Source organism: Homo sapiens, chromosome 16, assembly GCF_000001405.40.
Source record: "Homo sapiens chromosome 16, GRCh38.p14 Primary Assembly".
Classification (NCBI taxonomy): domain Eukaryota; kingdom Metazoa; phylum Chordata; class Mammalia; order Primates; family Hominidae; genus Homo; species Homo sapiens.
In genome coordinates, this window is record NC_000016.10 from 75,411,994 (window position 1) to 75,428,217 (window position 16,224).

A 16,224-nucleotide genomic window follows, 5' to 3' on the forward strand; every position below is an offset into this window, starting at 1 on the left:
AACCATATTGTTTACAGATACTTTTTATTTTTTTTTCTTTGAGATAGCGTCTCACTCTGTAGCCCAAGCTGGAGTGCAGTAACACAATCTTGGCTCACTGCAACCTCCCCACCTCCCAGGTTAAAGCGATTCTCCTTGCTTCAGCGTCCAAAGTAGCTGGGATTACAGGCAACCGCCACCACACCCAGCTAATTTTTGTATTTTTAGTAGAGACAGGATTTCGCCATGTTGGCCAGGCTGGTCTCGAACTCCTGACCTCAAATGATCCACCTGCCTCAGCCTCCCAAAGTGCAGGGATTGTTGGTGTGTGGCACTGCAGTCAGCCTATAGCTACTCTTAAATGTTTCATCTCTAACCAGTTAAAGGCCTATTGGAAACTTACATGATTAGAGAAGCTTATTCTCCTACCACAGGAAATGCTTTGCTTTTCACTTAGTACAATTGTTATCAAAAGGCATCTGGTCGATTTCCGTAGGCTTCAAATCTCAGTAATGTAGGGTATTTCTGGAGAGGCATTCACCTCACTAATGTCTCAACTTACCTTAACTTGTGTACTTGGGGGCACTTTTGATTTTGGTCCCACATCATTGAGGAAGCTGGCCCAGAGTTCGTCCTCCTTCTTTTTCCTGGCATCCTCTGATCCAATGCCTTTTTCCTGCTCTGCAGCGTCATCTTCCTCCTCACTACTGCTTCCCTCAGATTCTGAATTGGCATCCTCCTCTTCCTCTTCTTCTAATGAGAGGCCACCTTGTCTTCTCTTCCTAATCACCAGCAGTCACAGGAAAAAGGAAAGACAGCACAAAACGATTTCAGTTATCCCTCTCCCAATCCCAAAGGTAATCTTATAAACCCAAGAACACTTTAAATTCTGGGACTACTGGTTAATATACTGAAGTGAGTAGAAGAGTTAAGCTGAAATTTTATAGAAGAAAAAAAAAGAATTGAAAAAAAAAAAAACTGAGCTCTTAGTGCTAACTTTTCTCCAATCACTTAAAATCAAAGTATAGCGTTCTCCTTCTAAATCAGGACCAGCTGTTTTCACAAAGAAAACATCCAAATCACCTAATCACAGAATTAATCTATCCAGAAAGAATATTCTAAGAACATATTATATGTGCCAGACATTGTTGACTTTTTAAAGCTACTCCATTTGTAGAACAAGTTCTATTTAGAAGAGCCTCAACTTTATTTGCACTATTTCTTCCAAGAGTTCTCAAGGAAAAAGAAAAAAATCCATGTTTCTTCCCACTTTCGGAAGAACTGAGAGCTGGAACATAGAAAAATTCAAGGACAGGCCAGGCGCAGTGGCTCACACCTGTAATCCCAGCACTCTGGGAGGCCAAGGCCCACACAGAGATTCCACTACCTTTTTTCTCTTTTACTTCATATAAACTTTCATCACAACAAGATGAGAAAATTAGCCGGGCATGTTGGTGGGTGCCTATAATCCAGCCACTCGGAGGCTGAGGCAGGGAACTGAACCCAGGAGGCGGAGGTTGCATTGAGCAGAGATCACGCCACTGCACTCCAGCCTAGGCAACAGGGCGAGACTCTGTCTCAAAAAAAAAAAAAAAAAAAAAAAATTCAAGGACAAAAAAACTGGGCCCAAGACTTATAAGAGTATATTGCTTCTTAGACTATTTTGACTTTAGGTGAATCAATCTAATATCTACATTCTTTTTTCTTTTTCATAAATGATAATCTGCTTTTTGCTTCAATGCCCAGGAAGACAGAAACACCCAAGTGAGGTAAAAGACTTCTATGGAAGATGCCCTTATCTAAGTTAAATAACCTGTCAGAATTTTCATAATTTTCATGGGAAAAGAAGCCCATACCAGGCCTATGCCAGGCAATGGGCTAATATCTGTATTTTTAAAATTTAATTGCATATATAACCTTAGATCAAACAATTCCACTTCTAAATGTTACATTTACAGATATATTTATACATGTATACATTATATACATTTATATATTTATGTATACTTTGTATACATGTATACAAAGAATATTCACTGCACTCTTCTTTGTTGTAGTAAAGACTAGATACAATCTAAACATCCCTCGATACAGGAAAGCCTAAATAAAGTAAGGCCTATTCACATAACGTAATACTATGAAAAGGAGGAGATACTGCCATGGTACTATCTCCAAGATGTGAAATAAAGAGAAATGAAAATGAGAAAGTGAGTATGCTACTATTTATATTTTTTTTCTAAAAAAAAAATGAAGAAAATATAGACATATATGCATTTGCATGCACAGACTATCTCTGGTAGCATAGTTCTTCAGAGGCAAAGCAACAAGGTCTAGGAACAGGGTAAACATCTTTTCAGGGACTGAATTTTCTGTTCTAACCATATGTACATATTACCTATTAACATTTTCTTTACATTAAAGCTCAAAATGTTTAAAGCTTTCCAGAGACCAAGAAGTTAATCCTAAAATAACAGCAAATGTTTCCCTCAAAGAGAAAAGGGTTAGAAACTCTGGCTTCATTAAATCTATCATGAGACCAATCTTAGCAATCAGGATGGTTGTGACAATAGCCCCTAACTTCTAAGGGCCTTGAAGGCAGCATCACCTGGCTGGAATGCTCTGGGCCTTTCTTTTTTTCCCTTGGGTTTTCTGTGTCTGCTCTTCACCATCCACTTCATCTTCCTTCACTAATTCATTTACATCATCTTCACTATACTCTCCACCTGAAATCACATAACAGGGTGATCAGACAGGAATAAAGGTTTTCACATCAAGATGAGACATTTTCATTAATACAAGCTTTCACACCGAGACATTTTCATTAAGAAAAAGTGAATTTTCCCCTACTCTTCACCTAACGAAAACATCATTTCCTTGGGGAAGTCTTCTCTGCCCCTGAAGACTACCCTACGTTCTTCTATCGTAGGCTTCCATGGCAGTCTCTATTTCCCCTCCAAAACTCATCCCACTTATATTTAATGTTGGTAATTTCTGCTGTGCTGTATACTCCAAGAGGACATAAACCCTGTTCATTGTGACTTTTAAGTATTCACTAAATGAATGAGTGAATGAACAGAAATTTCAATTCTACTAATGTGTTTCTCAAAGAAGAAACTGATGCACTACCTCATCTTGGGTATCTTTCAAATCTAATTTAAAAAACACTTTGTCTTCTCAATAAAAGAAGTTTAAAAGGAAACCTAAAGACTTCCAGTTAAACATAGCAGAAAGAACAAACACACCCATGTCCCATTGTCAGACACTGACATTCAAGGGTCCCCAACAAAAGAGTGTTGCTTGGATGTCTGACCACATGCTGTGGGTACCAGTCAATAAACCAACCCTGCCCACACAGAGATTCCACTACCTTTTTCCTCTTTTACTTCATATAAACTTTCAATTGAAGTGTACATACCAAAAAGCACACAAATCTAATATACAGTTCAATGGAATGACACACAGTGAACACACTTGCATAACCAGGGCCCCAGCTCGAGGAACTGAACATTAGCAGCATCCCAGAAGGCCCCCTGTGCTCCCTTCCAGTCACTAACAACTGCCCTACCCCTAAAGGGAACCAATATCCTGACTTCTAAAGTCACGGGTTAGTTTTGCCTGCTTTTCAACTTTCAACAGAAGCCTGCAGTGTGTACTCTTCTGTGTCTGGCTTCTTTTATTCAACATTATGTTTGTGAGAGTCACCCACATTGTTGCAGTGTAGCTGTAGTTTATTCATTCTCACTCCTGAACAGTAAATAGTGTGTCATTGTATGACTATACCATAATCCGTTTATTCATTCTACTGCTGATGCACAACTAGGTTGTTTCCAATTTGGAGTCATTACAAACAGTACTGTTGTGATACTCCTGTGCATCCAATCAGCTTTATTTATTTATTGAGACGGAGTCTTGCTCTGTCACCCAGGCTGGAGTGCAGTGGCGCGATCTTGGCTCACTACAACCTCTGCCTCCCAAGTTCAAGCGATTCTCCTGCCTTGGCCTCCTGAGTAGCTGACATTACAGAAGTGTGCCACCACACCCAGCTGATTTTTATACTTTTAGTAGAGATGGGGTTTTATCATGTTGGCCAGGCTGGTTTTGAATTCTGACCTCAGGTGATCCAGCCGCCTTGGCCTCCCAAAGTGCTGCGATTACAGACAGGAGCCACCGCACACGGCCTCCAATCAGCTTTTAAATACTTCACTTATAATGTACCAAGGACCACCAAACACTTGAGAAAAGCCTCCAATATGAAAGGCAAGATTCAAGACAAACAGAAAGGAATTCAGAGGAAACAAAATTAGTGCAGAAAGAGGGGATGGGGAGGGGGACAGATTAAAAACTTAAGGAAAAAGGATTTGTAATTAATATCCTGAAAGAGGTAAGAGAAACTGTGGCATCCATGGAATAAAAATAAGACTTTTAAAATAATTCAGAAAAATGAAACAAACAAAAAAGCTCGTAAAAACTAAAACAATGATAAAAGAGATTTAAAAAAAAAAAAAAAAGGTAAACCAGTGGCTCACGCCTATAATCTCAGCCCTTTGGGAGGCCGAGGCAGGTGGTTCGCCTGAGCCCAGGAGTTGAAGACCAGCCTGGGCAACTGTGAAACCCTGTCTCTACAAAAAAATACAAAAATTAGCTGGGCTTGGTGGTACACACCTCTAGTCTAAGCTGAGGCAGAAAGATCACTTGAGCCTGGGAGGTCAAAGCTAGAGTGAGCCAAGATCACACCACTGCACTCCAGCCTGGGTAACAGAGCAAGACCCTGTCTCAAAAAAATAAATACATAAATTAAAAAATTTTTTAAAGGCGATGAGAAGGAGCCAGCTGTGTGAAAATCTGGAGAATAAGCATTTGAGGCTGAGGTGGAAACAATCAATATCCAAAATGGAATTCTGTTTGACATCCCAAACACCAAGGGCTAAGTGACAGTGTTTCATGAAGAGAGCAGTGAGTTCCTGCTTAAGACAGCAATCTGAACATAGAAATGTAATTTTACTTCCTCCTGAACCTAGTGAGACCCCATATCTAAAAAAAATTTTTAAACATTAGCCAGGCATGGTGGAGAATGCCTATGGTCCCAGCTGCTTGGGAGGCTAAGGGGAGGATCACTTGAACCCAGGAGGTCAAGGCTGAAGTGAGCCATGAACACGCTACTGCATTCCAGCCTGGGTGACAGTGAGACCCTGTCTCAAAAACAAAAACAAAAACAAATACCACCCCAAAATACAAAGAAACACAAATGTATTTACCTTTTTATCCAGCAGTCCCACTTCTATCCCAGAATATATAATAGTTTATTCACTCAGTACTGTTTGTAATAACAAAAAATTAGAAACAACTCAAGTTGTCTCACAGTAAGTGACTGGCTGAAAATGCTATGGTCCATCTAAATAATGGAATACCACAGTCATTACAATGCAATGTGTAAAATTTCTATGTATTTACCTCCAAGATATACTCTTAAGTTAAACAGAAAAAAAAGGAGAGGAAAAGCAAAAGAACAGTGTATGAAATATGCCAGCTCTGGATGAGGAAAAAGGAAGAATTAAGAATATGCTTATATTTGTTTGTATATGGAAAAAGCGACACTAGAAGGATAAACAAGAAACTAATGAAAACAGCTCCTTATAAGGGTCAGGATAAAACAGAGTAGAAGCAAGAGTTCACTGTGTTTATCTCTCTACAGAACTTTGAAAATCTCTTAAATTCAAAAGTTTGAATAAATAAACATAACTGTATACCAAAATGATAACATAACCACATAAACAAAAGATCTATTCCCAGGACTTTAAAAACAGTATTCTGACTATACATCTTCATCAAGATGCATTCCAAAGACAAAAAAAAAAAAGTTCTACTCTGTGTAGTAACATCAATGCTGGTATTTTGAAACTATTTCCTTTATATCATAGGTTAAAGCAAGTAATTAATCACGTTAGGAATCTAGATCTTCAGAATAAGAGAAATGACACAATTATAAAATCAAAGAAATTGGCTGGGAGCGGTGGCTCATGTCTGTAATCCCAGCACTTTGGGAGGCTGAGGTGGGTGTATCACCTGAGGCCAGGAGTTCGAGACCAGTCTGGCCAACACAGTGAAACCCCATCTCTACTAAAAATACAAAATTAGCTGGGTGTGGTGATGCATGCCTGTAATACCAGCTACTCAGGGAGCTGAGGCAGGAGAATTGCTTGAACCTGGGGGGCGGAGGTTGCGATGAGCTGAGATACACCACTGCACTCCAGCCTGGGCAACAAGAGTGAAACTCTGTCTCAAAAAAAAAAAAAAAAAAAAAAAGAATTAAGAATATCAATATGAACTCTAACCCTTTTTTTTTTTTTTTTTGAGACGCAGTCTCGCTCTGTCGCCCAGGCTAGAGTGCAGTGGCACGATCTCGGCTCACTGCAAGCTCCGCCTCCCGGGTTTTACGCCATTCTCCTGCCTCAGCCTCCCGTGTAGGTGGGACTACAGGCGTGCACCACCTATGCCTGGCTAATTTTTTTTGTATTTTTAGTAGAGATGGGGTTTCACCATGTTAGCCAAGATGGTCTCGAACTCCTGACCTTGTGATCCGCCGACCTCGGCCTCCCAAAGTGCTGGGATTACAGGCGTGAGCCAACGCGCCCGGCTAACCCTTTTTAAGTATTTCCTAGTTTTGTCCACTACACAAACGGCATATAAACTACATCATTCTGGTAACATCAAGCATCTCTAAAGTTCAAAGTTGAGACCATTTACCACAAAAAGGCTCCCTAAAAAAAAAAAAAAAAAAACTCATTTCAGGTCTGAGGCAAAGAAAGCACAAGGTAAAACCAGGACATTTTTCTGTGCCAGGAAGTCAGGAAGCTATTTAAAAATAACAGATCAAGGCCAGGTGCAGTGGCTCATGCCTGTAATCCTACCACCTTAGGAGGCCAAGGTGGGTGAGTATGGGGGGGAATGCTTGAGCCCATGAGTTCGAGACCAGCCTGGGCAACAGAGCAAGAGCCTGTTTCTATAAAAGATTTTTAAAAAATTAGTCAGGCATGGTGGCACGCACCTGTAGTTCCATCTACTGGGGAGGCTGAGGCAGGAGGATCACTTGAGCCCAGGAATTGAAGGCTACAGTAAGCAGGACGCCGACTCATAAAAAATAAATAATAATAAAAAAAGATCAAATTAAAAGGATACAAGATCCAGCCTGAAAGAGCTCCTACTGGCCAAAGCAGTGAAGACCTGAACATTAAAACAGGTAATTGTTAGAAAATGAAAACACACTGAATAAAAATCTGTGAGCCCCTCATGATATTAAAAAGACAGAAAAAAAAATTTGTACCATTTTAGACTGCTATTTAAAATTACTACCTATTTTGAAAATTGAGGGAAAAGAATTAAATATTTATATTGTTCCAATTGATAAAGGAAAGCTATACTTTACAGAAAAATGTCAACCAATAAATACAGAAGAACCACAGAATTAGAAAGACATCACTTCTCAAACTCTAATGACAGTAGTAGTTTAGGCAAGGGTTATTAAGTAATGCCAAAAAGCAATTTAAGAAGCTGGGTGTGCCAGAGGCATCTGAACCAGAGCAACTCCATCCTGAATAGCGACTGGGTAAAACAAGGCTGAAACCTGCTGGGATGCATTCCCAGGAGGTTAAGGCATTCTAAGTCACACGATAAGCTAGAAGGTTGGCAGAAGATACAGGTCATAAAGACCTTGCTGATAAAACAGTCTGCCGTAAAGAAGCTGGCTAAAACCCACCAAAACCAGCGCCATGACAGCTTACAAATGCCATGGCAACATCAGGAAGTTACTCTAAATGGTCTGAAAAGGGGAGGCATGAATAATCCACCCCTTGTTTAGCATATAATCAAGAAATAACCATAAAAATGGGCAACCAGCAGCCCTTGGGTCTGCTCTGTCTATGGAGTAGACATTCTTTATTCCTCTACTTTCTTAATAAACTTGTTTTTACTTTTCTGTATGGATTTCCCTCGAATTCTTTCTTGTTCGAGATCCAAGAACCCTCTCTTGGGGTCTGGGTCTGGATCCCCTTTCAGGTAACAGGTAGTCTCAGCTACCTCAGAAGCTCTCTTGAGCCCAGGAATTTGAGTCCAGACTGAACAACACAGTGAGACCTTCATCTCAAAAAAAAAAAAAAAAAAAAAAAAATTAAAAAGCAATTTAAGTTTTAACCATTAAGTATACTGCCACAGGGAATACTTTTCCAGTTCTAAAAGTTCCAAAGGAAAAAACAAGTATACAAGAGAGGGATCAGACTGTTATCACCCTGATTTAATAGTCACCACTATAGTTATCAACCAGATATTGTGTCTTCTGATGCTATTCAAACATCAGATGTCCATTGATAATGCATTCTGGCCAAAGTATTTCATTGGAACCCATCAAGCATTTAGATCTAACTTCTGATTTACAGAGAACTGAAGGAACAAAGGAACTAAAACAACGCCATGAGGGAATAACCAGACAAATCCAAGAGGTGAGACATGCTGCAGGATGTATGGCTTTGATCTTTTCAGCTATCTATGCCATTATAGAAAGGGGAGTGTGCTAGATTAAAAGAGACTCAAGGATGGAACAACTGGATAATATGTGTAGTATTGAACTCAACTGTGATTTGGACACACAAGCTATAACCATTTTGGAAAATTTGAGTATGATCTATATATAAGATAAAACATTTACTAAAATAAATGGGTAGAAATCATCCACTAAAAAGAGTAGGTTGAAAAGCGATGTGAGTAAATACAATTGCAGGCTGAGGAAAAAATACAAATATCTATACCTAGGTGTAGAAAAAAATCAGAGTGAGTTTTCACTAAAGGATTGACATGATAGTCTCTAGGTAGTTCAACTATTTTTTTTATTTTTAAGTGATTTTTAATTTAACTGTCTGCATTTTCTAATTTTCTATAAAGCTCTGCACTACTTTTGAAAACTTTTGCCTGTTTTCATCATAAAAACAGGCAAATGTTGTAGACAGTTCAGACAAGTAGATGCACATGACTCTGGATCTTAAACATGTAAAAAGATGCTTAATCTCATTAATAATGAGACAGCCATGTGGGAGGGGGTCCCTGGAGAATCTCCGGCCAGCCAGCAGACTAGGAGGCATGCGCACTGGGGTGGAGCCACAGAGGTTCCTGCTGTTTGCAGCGGGGAGGAGCCCGGCCCCTCTTCTTCCTGTGTGCAACCTGGGATTCAAAGCTGCAAGGCAGGAAGCACAGCAGCAGGAACTCTGGCCTTGCAGAGTCCCTGTTCCCCCTTTTTTCCCTTTTCACCCAATAAAACCCTGATTTACTCAAGCTTCAAATTGTCTGTGAGCCTAAATTATCATGGCTGTGGGACAAGGACTCCATCTTTAGCTAAACTATGGAAAAGTCCTTCATCAGTAAGAGATAAGAAAATTTTAAATTATACATACAAAACCCCCCAAAACCTCAATATCAAATTCCATGCAGTTACTATGAGGGAAAAAAAGATAGTAAGAATCAGAATAACATCCCTGTAGACAATGTAGGCACAAAAGGAACAAATCTTGTCCAAAGACTCAGAGCTTCCAATAACCTTTCTAGTGCCCCAAGCATAAATATGAGCCAAACCAACTAAGAATCAGTATAAATCCGAGAAAGCCTCTTACATAATAAAACCCTAAACAAGCATACAAGGTGAATAAAAAATCACCCTGGAAGAAACAAAGCCTGTATTTCCTCATTTTATGAGGCCTGCATTATCTGATACTAAAATCACACAAGGAAATTACCAAAAAACTACAGATCGATATCCCTCATAAACACAGATGCAAAAATCCTCGACAAAATACGGCTGTCCCTCCATATTTCTGGGGAAGTGGTTCCAAGATCTCCCCCACCCCACACCAAAACCCACAGATGTTCAAGTCCCTGATATAAAATGATGTCATATTTACATATAAACTATGTACATCCTCTTGCATACTTTAAGTCATCTCTAGATTACTTACAACACCCAATATAAGTGCTATATGAATAGTTGTTATACTGTATTGTTTAGGAAATAATGACAAGGAAAAAAGTTTGTACACATTCAGTACAGACATAACCACCCATTTGTTTTCCCAAATACTTTCTCTCTCTCTCTCTTTTTTTTGAGACGGAGTTTCGCTCTTTTTGCCCAGGCTGGAGTGCAATGGTGCGATCTCGGCTCACCGCAACCTCTGCCTCCCGTGTTCAAGCTATTCTCCTGCCTCAGCCTCCCAAGTAGCTGGGATTACAGGCGCTTGCCACCACACCCGGCTAATTTTTTGTATTTTTAGTAGAGACAGGGTTTCACCGTGTTGCCAGGATGGTCTCGATCTCTTGACCTCGTGATCCACCTGCCTCGACCTCCCAAAGTGCTGGGATTACAGGCGTGAGCCACTGCGTATGGCCTCTTTTTTTTTTTTTTTTTTTTTGAGACAGAGTCTCGCTCTGTTGCCCAAGCTAGAGTGCAGTGGCATGATCTTGGCTCACTACGATCCTCCCGGGTTCAAGTGATTCTCCTGCCTCAGCCTCACGAATACCTGAGACTACAGGTATGCACCACCACTCCCAGCTGATTTTTGCATTTTTGGTAGAGACGGGGTTTCACCATGTTCGTCAGACTAGTCTTGAACTCCTGGCCTCAAGTGATCCACCCACTTCAGCCTCCCAAAGTGCTGGGATTACAGGTCAGAGCCACCACATCCAGCCTCTTAGAGAGTCTTAAAACTGTGATCAAAAAAAAAACACGTTTTTAGAGGTTAAGGCAGAAGGATCGCTTGAGGCCAGGAGTTCAACGTGTCACTGAGCTGTGATCTTGCCACTGCACTCCAGCCTGGGTGACGGAGCAAAACCCTGTTTCTTTTAAAAACAAACAAACAAATCCAGGTTTTCTCACACCTGTAATGCCAGCACTTTGGGAGGCTAAGGCAGGAAGATTGCTCAAAGCCAGGTGTTTGAGACCAGCTTGGGCAACATGGTGAGAGACCTCATCTCTACAAAAAATAAAAAATTAGGCCGGGCGCAGTGGCTCACGCCTGTAATCCCAGCACTTTGGGAGGCCGAGGTGGGCGGATCACAAGGTCAGGAGATCGAGACCATCCTGGCTAACACGGTGAAACCCCATCTCTACTAAAAATACAAAAAAATTAGCCGGGCCTTGTGGTGGGTGCCTGTAGTCCCAGCTACTCGGGAGGCTGAGGCAGGAGAATGGCGTGAACCCGGGAGGCAGGGCTGGCAGTGAACCGAGATGGTGCCACTGCACGCCAGCCTGGGTGACAGAGCAAGACTCCGTCTCAAAAAAAAAAAAAAAAAAATTAGATGGGCATGATGGTGTGCATCTGTAGTCCCAGGTACCTGGGAGGCTGAGGTGGGAGGATCACTTGAGCCCAGGAGTTTTAGGCTGCAGTGAGCTGATTGCGCCACTGCACTCCAGTCTGGGTAATCAAGCGATTCTCGTGCCTCAGCCCAGTAGCTGGGACTAATTTTTGTATTTTTAGTAGAGACTGGGTTTCACCACGTTGGCGAGGTTGGTTTTTTTTTGTTTTTTGAGACGGAGTCTCACTCTGTCGCCCAGGCTGGAGAGCAGTGGTGCGATCTCCGCTCACTGCAACCTCCGCCTCTTGGGTTCACGCCATTCTCCTGCTTCAGCCTCCCGAGCAGCTGGGACTACAGGCACCCGCCACCTCGCCCGGCTAATTTTTTGTATTTTTAGTTGAGACGGGGTTTCACCACGTTAGCCAGGATGGTCTCGATCTCCTGACCTTGAGATCCGCCCACCTCGGCCTCCCAGGTTGGTCTTTAACTCCTGGCTTCAAGTGATCTGCACTCCTTGGCCTCCCAAAGTGCTGGGATTACAGGCGTGAGCAACTGCACCCAGCCTTTTTCCAAATATTTTCTATCTGCAGTTGGTTGAATCCATGGCTGTGGAAACCACAGATACAGAAGGCTGACTATATTAGCAAACCAAATTCAGCAATGTATAAATATATCCTGACCAAGTGAGCTGTCTCCCAGAAATAAGTCTGTCAGAAATTTGAAAATCAAACACTGTAATCCACCATATTAACAGACAAAAAAAAAGAAAAACCACATGTAATTAAATCAATAGATGGAGAAAAAGCATTTGACAAAATTCACCTCTCTGAAAATTAGGAACAGAGGGGAACTTATCTAACATGATAAAAGGAATCTCTGAGGGACAATATATGCAGACTGCCAAGGTTAACATTCCAGCTAAGTTACTATCTAACTGGATGAATTTCAGCCATTTGCTTAGACTTTGTGCCTCAGTTTTTTCATCAGTAAAATGCAGAACACAATTAGCACGTACAGTGTTAGGTGACTGAGTTGGTAATAAGTTACTCAATGCTAAAGGGTTTAAACGGCAGGCAGACAGACACACACGGCATCTGTGAAAAACCTATAGCTAACACCACATCAAGTGGTAAAACACTAGTTTCTTTTCCCCCTTAAGATTGGGAAAAAGGCTGCCAGACGCGGTGGCTCACGCCTATAATCCCAGCACTTTGGGAGGCTGAGGCGGGCGGATCACGAGGTCAGGAGATCAAGACCATTCTGGCTAACACGGTGAAACCCAGTCTCTACTAAAAATACAAAAACTTAGCGGGCGTGGTGGCGGGCGCCTGTAGTCCCAACTACTCGGGAGGCTGAGGCAGAAGAATGGCGTGAACCCAGGAGGCAGAGGTCACAGTGACCCAAGATCGTGCCACTGCACACTCCAGCCTGGGCAACAGAGGGAGACTCCGTCTCAAAAAAAAAAAAAAAAAGATTGGGAAAAAGGCAAAGATGTCCCCTCTCACCACTAGCATTCAACATCATACTGGAAGTATAAAGTACAACAAGGCAAGCAAAATAAATATAAAAGGTAAACATATTGGAAAGGAAGAAATAAAACTGTTTCTATTCACATTTGACATCACTGTCTGTGTGGAAAATCCCACAGAATCTACAAAAACCTCCAGAACTGGTAAATGAGTTTAGCAAGGTTGTAGAATACAAGGTTAGTATGCAGAACCTGTATTGTATTTCCATATACTAGTTACAAACAATTAGAAATAAAAACTTTTTACACCTAAAAAAAAAAGATACAGACTGTATTCATAGACTAAAATATAAGATCGTTAAATTGTCAATTCTTCCCAAAACGGTCTACAGATTCAATGCAATTCCAAACAAAATCAAAGTAGGATACTTTTTCGAGAGATGAACAAAGTGATTTTACAATGCATATGGTGGCCAGGCCTGGTGGCACACGTCTGTAGTACCAGCTACACAGGAGGCTGAGGAAGGAGAATCACTTGAACCTGGGAGGTAGAGGTTGCAGTGAGCAGAGATCGCGCCACTGCACTCCAGCCTGGGCAACAGAGTGACACTCCATCCCCCTCAAAAAAAAAAAAAAAAAAAAAACTATATGGAAAGGCAAAGGAACAAGAGCAGCCAAAACTATTTTGAAAAAGAATAAAGTTGGAGTACTCTCTCTACCTGATTTCAACACTTAAATCAAAAACAGTAAATGAAACTGTGGAAACAGAGGCCCAGAAATAAACCTATACAAGTATGGCCAGTTCACTTTACAGAAATACAAAGGGAATTCGATGGAGAAAGAATAATCTTTTCAACAAATAATGAAAATACTGGACATCCAGATGCAAAAGAAAAAAAAAAAAAGAATCCATAACTCATATCTTATGCAAAAATTAACTGAAAATAAATAATGATAACTGATTTTTTAAAAAAGTAAATGCTGGCCGGGCACGGTGGCTCACTCCTGTAATCCCAGCACTTTGGGAGGCCGGGGTGGGCGGATTACCTGAGAGGTCAGGAGTTCAAGACCAGCCTGGCCAACATGGTGAAACCCCATCTCCACTAAAAATACAAAAATTAGCCAGGCGTGGTGGCAGGCGCCTATAATCCCAACTACTCGGGAAGCTGAGGCAGGAGAATCGCTTGAACCTGGGAGGCGGAGGTTGCAGCGAGCTGAGATCATGCCACTGCACTCAAGCCTGGGCAACAGAGCAACACTCTGTCTCAAAAAAAAAAAAAAAAAAAAAAAAAAAAGTAAAGGCCAGGCACTGTGGCTTATGCCTATAATCCCAACACTTTGGGAGGCCGAGGTGGGCGGATCACCTGAGGTTGGGAGTTCAAGACCAGCCTGACCAACATGGAGAAACCCTGTCTCTACTAAAAATACAAAATTAGCCAGGCGTGGTGGCACATGCCTGCAATCCCAGCTACTCAGGAGGCTGAGGCAGGAGAATCCCTTGAACTCAGGAGGCGGAGGTTGCAGTGAGCCAAGATCATGACATTGCACTCCAGCCTGGGCAACAAGAGCGAAACTCTATCTCAAAAAAACAAAAACAACAACAAAGTAAAACTATGTAACTTTTACATAGGAAAATACACTATCTTTGTAATCCCGAGTTAGGCAAAAAAGAGTTCTTAGATATGATTCCAAAAGCACAACCCATAATAGAAAAATTTGACAAACTGGATTTTATCCAAGTTTAAAAATTTTACTCTGCAGGCCAGGCATGGTGTCTCATGCCTGTAGTCCCAGTTACTACAGAGGCTGAGGCAGGAAAATTGTTTGAGCCCAGGAAGTAAAGGTTGCAGTGAGGTGAAATCGTGCCACTGCATTCCAGCCTGGGCAACAGAGCAAGACTCTGTTTCAAAAAAACACCAAAAAAAATTGCTGTGCAAACACTATTAAGAGAATGAAAAGACAAGCACAGAGACAAAACACTGCAAAACAAGTATGTGACAAAGGAGCCGGGGGTGGTGACTCAGGCCTGTACTCCCAGCACTTTGGGAGGCCAAGGTGGGTGGATCACTTGAGGTTGGGAGTTGGAGACCAGCCTGGCAAACATGGTGAAACCCCATCTCTACTGAAAATACAAAAATTAGCTGGGTGTGGTGGCGAGTGCTTGTAATCCCACCTACTTGGGAGGCTGAGGCAGGAGAATCGCTTGAACCCGGGAGGTGGAGGTTGTGGTGAGCCAAGATTATGCCACTGTACTCCAGCCTGGGGGACAGCGAGACTGTCTCAAAAAAAAAAAAACAAAACAAATATCTGACAAAGGACTATATCCAGAATATATAATTCCAAAACTGAAAACAACCCAATGTTTTAAATGGACAAAGAATTCAAAAGACACACCAAAGAAGATAAAATGATGGCAAACAGGAACATGAAAAGAGCATCAACATCCTTAGGGAAATGCAAACTAAAGGAGAAATTAGCTAATTTTTTTTCTTTTTTTTTCGAGACAGTGTCTCGCTCTCTTGCCCAGGCTGGAGTGCAGTGGCACAATTCCGGCTCACTGCAACCTCCACCTCCTGGGTTCAAGCGATTCTCCTTCCTCATCCTCCCAAGTAGCTGGGACTACAGGCATGCACCACCATGCCCGGCTAATTCTTTGTATTTTTTAGTAGAGACAGGGTTTCAACATATTGGCCAGGCTGGTCTTGGACTCCTGACCTTGTGATCTGCCTGCCTTGGCCTCCCAAAGTGGTGGGAATACAGGCATGAGCCACCGCGCTCGGCCCCAAATTAGCTAATATTTAAAACAAAAACAAAAACAAAAAAATCTGACCACCCCAAGTGTTGTTGAGGATGAAGAGCAACTTGAACTCTCAAACTTGTTACCAACAGCAATCAAGCCACAAAAAAATTTAGCAGCTTCTTGTAAAGTTAAACATACACATACTACAAAACCCAGTAATCCCACTCCTAGATATTGACTCAAGTGAAATGAAAACCCATGTTCACAGAAAAAGCTGTGTGTAAATATTTATAAACAGCTTTATTTGTAATCATAAAAAATTGGAAACAACCCAGTGTCTTTCAAATGCAGAATAAACTGTGGTATATCCATATAATGGACTACCACCCAACAACAGAAGGAGCTAATTACTGACATGTGCAACAACACAGGTGAATCTCAAATGCATTATGCTAAGCGGAAGAAGCCAGATACAAAAAGCTGCCTACTGTTATGGTTCCATTTAGATTATATTCTGAAAAAGGCAAAACTATAAAGATGGAAAACAGACCAGAGGTTGCTAATGGCTGGGGCCGGGGGTGAGGGAGAGTTGTTTGACTACAAAGAGTAGCAGGGGAAATTTGTTTTTTTTTTTTTTTAAGAGGGTTGACGGCTTGAAACTGTTCATTTTGGTGGAGGTTACACAACGCTAGGCATTTAACAAAAATCA

The 16,224-nt window shown here is 41.4% G+C and overlaps 1 protein-coding gene across 8 annotated transcripts in view; it reads right to left on the bottom strand.

The window, feature by feature from the left end:
- CFDP1 (craniofacial development protein 1) overlaps window positions 1-16,224 on the bottom strand; it is a 139,794-nt gene that overhangs the window by 118,284 nt on the left and 5,286 nt on the right. For all 8 annotated transcript variants that reach the window (XR_007064846.1, XR_007064847.1, XR_007064845.1 and 5 more), the window contains exons 2-3: window positions 2,585-2,702; window positions 542-761 (exon numbers count right to left, since the gene is read on the bottom strand). Coding sequence is in view for 5 of the 8 variants with exons in the window: in NM_006324.3 (NP_006315.1) it covers window positions 542-761; window positions 2,585-2,702 (338 nt within the window). In the remaining 3 variants the exon portion in view is untranslated. The remainder of the gene's footprint in view (window positions 1-541; window positions 762-2,584; window positions 2,703-16,224) is intronic.